At 41.2% G+C, this 7,713-nt stretch overlaps 1 annotated feature.

Moving 5' to 3' along the window:
- Positions 7,340-7,459: an enhancer, noted in NCBI's record as "active region_7440". NCBI's record gives its function as "activates an Ori minimal core promoter by ATAC-STARR-seq in GM12878 lymphoblastoid cells {active_cell/tissue: GM12878}" and the evidence as "EXISTENCE:reporter gene assay evidence [ECO:0000049][PMID:35858748]".

Raw genomic sequence — 7,713 nt, 5'->3', positions numbered from 1 at the left:
GCCCAGGGCCAAGACCCTAACTTCAGGGGACAACAAAATCACAGAGATTACAGACCTTCATGCTAAACAGAGAGTGGCCCTTCTGAACTGAAGCCTCCCCATCCTGGACACAATCCCAGAGAGGCCCTTTGGGGACACTGCTCTTTACTCTCCACCAAAAGAAATCCAAGCCCAGTCAAATAAGAGGGCTTTCAGTCAGAGAAAATAGGATTTTTCCACTAGTAAAGGAGGGTGCCACTCCCTCATGAGAACTCTTCTGCTTTAGCTAGCCAAAAGCAAAGAAAGAAATAATAAATACTTAAGTATTTATTAAATTATATATATTACTAAATATTTATTAAATATTTAATAAATGCTTAAGATATTTATTTATATATTTATTTTTGGCTACTAAAACAGAAGTTTTCATAAGGCTGAGGGACCCTCCTTAACTAGGAATATATACATATTTGTGTGTGTGTATATATATAATACACACACACACACAAAATATATAGGGTATTGCAAAAGTAATGCAAGCTTGTTTTAAAACACTCAAACAACTCAGAAGTGTGGGAAGTAAAATTAAACAACCCCTCCCGTCCTCTCAAAGGCACTCACTAGTACTTGGTGCAGATCCTCCCAGAACTTTTTTGAAGTACTGACATATATGCATAGGGTTGTTCCTTTAATAGGAACAAAGTGTACATATTGATATTCAGCATGATTTTTAAAAATTAATACTATACCCTGGCTATCCTCCTCAGTCAGAACCTTCAGGCTTGTCTCATTCTTTGTTAATGGCCACTTCATTCTCCATAGTATCCATGTACCATGATTTAAGAACTTCTACTGGTGGATTTCTGGATTGTCAACAGTTTTTCAGTCTTCCAGACAATGCCATGATGAACATACTTAAAAACTGAGCACAGTTCCCTCCTGAAGTGAACACCTCTCTTTGCACAACTGCAGGGAGTGGGGCTTGGAGAAGACAAAAGATATGCCCTGGAGTTGAGGTGAAAGGCCTGCCCCAAATGACGGCTCCTTTAGCATAGTTCTTGGTCTTACAGTTCTCCTTGAGGAGGCTTTCCTTGCCACTTTGTAGAATTCAGCTCAGACCCATAAACCTGGACTGAGCGCCCACTAAGTGCTCAGCCCCATGCTAGATGCTAGGGATCCAACACTATGTGGGACGTGGTCTCTGCCCTCAAGAAGCTCTGCCATAATGCCAGGTGTCAAGTCCCAATCTAGTAATAGAAACAGCTGCAAAGGGAGAGCCAAGGGGGACAGAATGGCCTCACCAGCCCCTGATCTAAACCTCTGCTCAAACGTTCACTAATTATGCTGCCAGAATAACCCAGCTGCTATCTCAATACCTGCCTAACTTTCAAGAGATGACATCACTCTAAGAACATCTCAAACATTTCTCCTGTGGGAGATATGTTGACTGTACATCTTGCAAAAACCAATAAATTATATATCACACACACATATATACATTATGTGTGTGCATACAACACACTAGAAGTGATAAACCAGCCTCGTGCATGGATGTTACAGTACTCATTACCTCAGACGGAAAAAACTTTTCCCTCTGTATAATCCCACTCATCTACCTACAAGTTAGACACAAAATGTATTTGTTCTCTAGATGCACAGAACTATGTATGGTTTACTATTTTGTATGTATCTCTCTGAAACAATGATTCAGTATTAATTTATGTTCAATAAGTTTACAGCTGTTTCAAGTGTTTAAGATAGAATAAATAAAGCTTAAATATTCTTCATGGGCTTGGTGCGGTGGCTCACGCCTGTAATCCTAACACTTTGGGAGGCCGAGGCAGGCAGATTACCTGAGGTTGGGAGTTTAAGACCAGCCTGGCCAACATGGTGAAACCCCATCTCTGCTAAAAATACAAAAAATTAGCCGAGTGCAGTGGCACGCACCTGTAATACCAGCTACTTGGGAGGCTGAGGCAGGAGAATCACTTGAACCCAGGAGGCAGAGGTTGTGGTGAGCAGAGATCACACCACTGCACTCCAGCCTGGGCTACAGAGCGAGACTTTGTTTCAAAAAAAAAAAAAGATTCTGTGATGATTAATCTAATGTGTCAACTTGACTGGGCCACAAGGTGCCCAGATATTCGATCAAATATTATGTGTGAGTATGTCTGTGGGGATGTTTCTGGATGAGCTTAGCATTTGAATGAGTGAACTGAGTAAAGAAAATGGCCCTCCCTAATGCGGCCTCATCCAATTCATTGAAGGCCTGAATAGAATACAAAGGTTGAGGAAGAAAGAATTCTCTGTCTGCCTGACTGCCTACAAGTTGGGACATTGGCCTTCTCCTCAGGACTCAGACATGGACACCATCACTTTTCTTGGTTCTCAGGCCTTCAGACTCAGACTGGAACTATACCTCAGTCTCTCCTGGGTCTCCAGCTTGCCAACTGCAGATCTTGGGGCTTATGGGCCTCCATGATCAAATGAGCCAATTCACTACAGCAAATGTCTTTATATATATTTCTGTTTCTCTGGAGAACCCAGACCTCTTCCAGTTTCAGGAAGACTACACATAATTTAGCTCTTGTGTTTCAGGAAGACTACACATAATTTAGCTCTTGTTTTTCCCTGCATCAACATTGCATGCTAGTTCTCATTGCTGCTCTTCCACATCTTCGAGTTTAGATTTCTTTCCTAGCATTTGGCCTGGTTCATTCTGTACTATCCTCCAATGGAGATGGTCACCAAGATAACAATTCTTCATATATGTGAATACCATCAATAAGTCTCATTCTAACTGTGTCTTCCCAAACTGAGTAACACTGATCTCCTTATTTCATTTTCATTTTCCTCACCTTCCAACCTTACACTATATATTAGATTTCCTCGAACTCTCTATTCAGTAGAATATGTTTCCCCATGCCCACCCAATTGTAACTCTTTGTCCTGTTTGCTGATGTATCCAAGTCTTAAGAAAGGGGGCTGGTCCATACTAAGCACTCAATGACAATTTGTTGTCTGGCTAAATGGATCTCCCTGTCTCTCCCTTCTACGTCTCAGGTCTGATTATATCTGACAAGTGTACCAATTAAGGTTATGTGCCAAAAAATTAAGTTCTCCCCTCCTGATCATGATTGTACTGGTTATCAAGATGTTTGATTAGACCTTAAAGCCATCTGCTTGAATATAAGGGGAGAAGTTTTTAAGTTCTATAAAATTATTTTTGTGACCTATAATGCCAAATAGTATGTCTATCTTGCAGATAGACATACTATTGGAAAGTGACTACTTTCCCAACTTCTATCACTCACTCAAGGCATTTTATATTCTTCAACCTTGATGTTACAGCATTAACTTTGCCTTCACCCATGTTTCATTTCTGGTTTCTAAAAAGCAATGCAGTGTTTCTGTGCCAAGTTCCAGCTGTGCAATTATTGATAAGAATGCATAGTTTGGCATTATAGGTCAATGAATATTGAGACTTGGAGTAGAAACCAATTTTGGAACAAAAGGCTAACGCTAACATTTTTCTTTTCCTTTGTGGGTGATTATTTTCTGTTCAACTTTTGTTATAGAGCACTGTGATTTCTCTAAGAAGCTCCTTGGCTTGGAAAAGCTGGGGTAGATTGACTCTCAGATAAACTAAAAACTACCTTCTTCACTTCTTTATGCTAAGGAGTTTTGCTGTTTTTCCTTAGATTATGCAAAAAGGAGAGAAAAACTTAAAAAGAGGAATCTGAGAAACTATGAAGGCTCCATTAGACCTTGGCAGAGGCCCAAAGAGACCACCAAGCTTGCTCATAAATGCACAGTGTCTAATAAAAATGCAATGATTATTATTATTATACATTTATTGAGCAGCAAAAATGCACTAAATTAAAAAATATATGCACTGTGTTTTTCATATCTCCTGATGGGTATGTAGAGACTGCGGCTGTTTGTTTTCCTCAGTAATTGGCACGTCGTCCTCACAGTCCTGTGGCTGCCAGGGGTCACCATTCTGCTCATGTGCTTGAGGTTTTCTGGGGACCAAAAACTGCACCTAATGCCATCACTTCACCTTGGTACCCCTAAATTACGGATCAGTTTCATTCTATGGATTGAGTCAGTGTGGGACAAGAAGGTTTATGAAGCCCATTGGATTTTTTTCTATTTCTCCAAAGGAAAGGATTCAGTTGAGCTTTTGAAGTTGAGGAATTTGCTTCTTAACCCAAAGATCACGTGCAAACGTGACTTCCTGTGCTACCCTACTTCTGATTTAGGAATCAGCGCAGGTAACCACTGCTGTCTTAAGCAAATTCCCATTCTATTTGGAGAATAACAACAAAAAATTGGCTCCTTGGGGAATTTAAAAACTCCCTCAATAACCATTACTTTACAGGCACGTTATGAACTCTTAGGCAAAGTGTTTAAAAAATACATCAAATGTTTAACCAATGGGAAACCATACTTGTATTTCAAACCAGAAATAGCTGCTTCGTGAATTGCTTGCCATCTCTCAATTCTGCGATGAAAAGAGTAAAATTCAGTCCATAGAAAGCTCTTCTTTTAAACACCATTAGGTCTGCTGTTTCTCTTTGCACCTCTTCCTCTTTAAAGCTACAAGTCACTGAAATGACTCAAACCAAAGTTGAGAATGACTGTTGCAGGACCCAGCTTGCCTGGACATTATTACCACAGCACACCTAAGGCCAGTTGCTTGGAAGCTCCCCTCCCTTTTTGCACCTACAATTATTTTCATGCACAAATAATAGAAGTGAAGTTGGTCATTTGGGAGCTGAATTCAGCACTGGCTCCTCATTCTGACTGAATAAGGGATGATCTGGAGAAATCATATTCCATGAGCAATTTTTGTGTCTGCATGCTACAGTTGAGACAAATGCTTAACCCTAAAAATGCCAATCACAACTCTTTTAAAACTTAGTACACGACATATTTGTGATTTTATCTTGTCCTTCATGCTGTCTTTTCTAAGATGATAAAGGAACAGCTATCATACATACACAAATCCAAAAAAATCTAAACCACATCCAAACTGTCTCATTTTTCTTTTTTTGAACAAAAGTAACCAGACGTGTCAGTCAATTATGCTCAAGGAAAATTATTATGGTGGGAAAGACCTAGCTTATCTTTGAGACCACTTAGTTGCTGTCTTAAGTTTTGTTTTCTTATATTAAAAATATTTTGCAACTTGGCCAGGAGCGGTGGCTCATGCCTATAATCCCAGCACTTTGGGAAGCCAAGGCAGGCAGATTATTTGAGGTCAGGAGTTCGAGAGCAGCCTGGACAACATGGTAAAACCCCGTCTCCACCAATAAAATACAAAAATTGGCCAAACATAGTGGTGCACACCTGTAGTTCCAGCTACTCGGGAGGCTGAGGCAGGAGAATACCTTGAACCCAGGAGGTGGAAGTTCCAGTGAGCCGAGATTGTGCCACTGTACTCCAGCCTGGGTGACAGAGAGAGACCTTGCCTCAAAAAAAATAAAAATAAAATAAAAAATAAATATATATATATACACACACACACACACACACACACATATTTTGCAACTCATTCAATACCTATATCTTTCTACACAGAAGATATAGTCTCTATATATGTCCATATTATGTCAAATTTAGCAATGTATTAAATTTAGTAAAAATAAATTAATCACATCATTTAGAGAAAGGATTCCCATGACTGAAAATTCAGTGGTTCTTCTCAGGGCTAAGACTGGGATGAAGCGAGCAAGGTGCTTCTGCTGCAAAATTTGATAGGCTCTCCGTCCCTCCCTCCCTCTCGGGAGCTAGACCTGTACTGGCATGACCCCGAGAGGGAGCACATGAGGTACTTACATTTTGCATGTGGGATGCCTCACTCTGGTCAGACAAGTTCATTTCCTTCTGGGGTCCAGTCAATGCTGCCATGATCGGGCAAGGCTGGTTATTCTCACAGATGAGGCAAAGCCAACCATATGAGCCACCGGGAGCCGTCCTGTGGCCTGAAGATACAGGGCTCTCCTGGGCAAGGACAGGCAGCACTCGTTTTTGTCACACTTGTGTTATTAAAACCTGTGATAGTAGCCTGGTTCAGTTATCCTAAATAGCACTGAACAGCTCTTGCCGCTGGAGTGAATCCAGCCTTCCTTATGGACTAGCGTCAGGTGAACGCCCTTCTGTCTTTTGCCCCTCCATTTTCCCTTCCGAAGTGCTGCAGTTTGTAAACGTGAAATCAGAGGTTGGGGGTTGGCAAATGGATCTGTCTGTGACTTACTGCTCCATACTTGTTGAATGGAATGCCTGAAATCAGCAAGAGGCTAGCTCTGCAGAAGATGGGTTTTGAGAGAAAGCATGGTTCTTTTTTCACTCGCTATTCCAACTTTGTTTTTGCCAATGGGAACAGGTTCGTGTCGCATGAAACGTGTTTGGCTTTCTCAGGAGCTCCTCAACCTCCAGGAGACGTGAAAAACACTTCTAGCCAACAACGCAGAAGTGCTAGTCACTGAATGCACATTGTTGCAGGCCTGTTGTTGCTCAATGAGATTAGTCTCTAACTGATGCACACGGGTCTTATTGAAAAGGCTATTCTGTAATTGTTGCCATTAGTGAGGCTACCATTAGGCAGTTGCCTAAAACTTCCTGGAGGGACTCACTGGAGGCTCCAGCAGCCACGGTTCACTCATGTAGAACAGCAGGAGCTGCGCTAATTTCCACTCTCCCATCCATTAGGGGAGAGAAGCAGCTCATTAGAGGTCCTCCCCTCTCAACTCCAATTACCCTGGGATAATGACAAAACATGGAGCACAGTAGAAACTCTGAGAGCTCCACAGCCATTCCTCTCATTCATGATCTCTGTTGATTACATCCACAGAAATAAACTCCAGACCCCCAAATCTTCGCACAGCCAAGCTTGTCGACATAATCAGCCATGTGAATGCCTGGTCACATTAATTTAAAGGCTGAGCGTTTTAATCTACATATGAGACTTTTAGGGGAAATGCTTAACATAATAGCATAGCCCAGAAAGTTGTTTTGTTTTGTTTTTTCCACGTCTTCTTCCTCTCACAAGGAAAGAAACTCTCACAGCAAGGTGAAGCAAAATCATTAGTCTCAAAAGTTTTAATATTATATTTCTAACCTTTGTAGAGAACTTAAATGCTAACCCAGATATCCCCTCCCAAAGTCATATTAGTTCAGCAGCAAAAAGATTGTGGGGGTGGGGGTACAGGGGGAAAGGCTGGGTGAGAGAAAGAGAATTATTTCCCAGAAAAGCATAAAATTGCAAGAATCTCAAAAAATTGCATCTCCCTTTGCCACTGTATCATACCACCAGGCATAACGGGGCCCTGGGCCGCAGGGCCTGTGACTTTCACACACTTTTGTTCAATGCCATTAAAATTTCAGTTCTGCTTTTATGCTCTCTTATCTGCTTAGTTGATTATTTATGTTGCAATTCACACTAAGTTCAAAAGCCACCACTTTTTGATTTTCAGATGTCTTCATCCTCACTGGTGTCCACCTCATCCCCAGGCCTATCTCTGGGACAGGCAGCCCTTTTCTTATTTCTGGATGGGATCTGAGAAACTGTCATGATACTTGTCTGAACTTGTTAGTGGTAATGTCTCCATAGTGCTGCAATAAGCAAATGTATCATTCAATTGTCTCACTATTTTAAGTGAAGCAACCAGTTGCTTTCTGTGTTATGTAAATATTCTTTCAAATATGCAGAAGCATATTTTGGAGGGG

The sequence above is a fragment of the Homo sapiens genome, chromosome 13 (genome assembly GCF_000001405.40).
Source record: "Homo sapiens chromosome 13, GRCh38.p14 Primary Assembly".
NCBI lineage: Eukaryota > Metazoa > Chordata > Mammalia > Primates > Hominidae > Homo > Homo sapiens.
The sequence above is the reverse complement of the archived record's forward strand: the minus strand, read 5'-3'. Positions and strand labels throughout refer to the sequence as shown.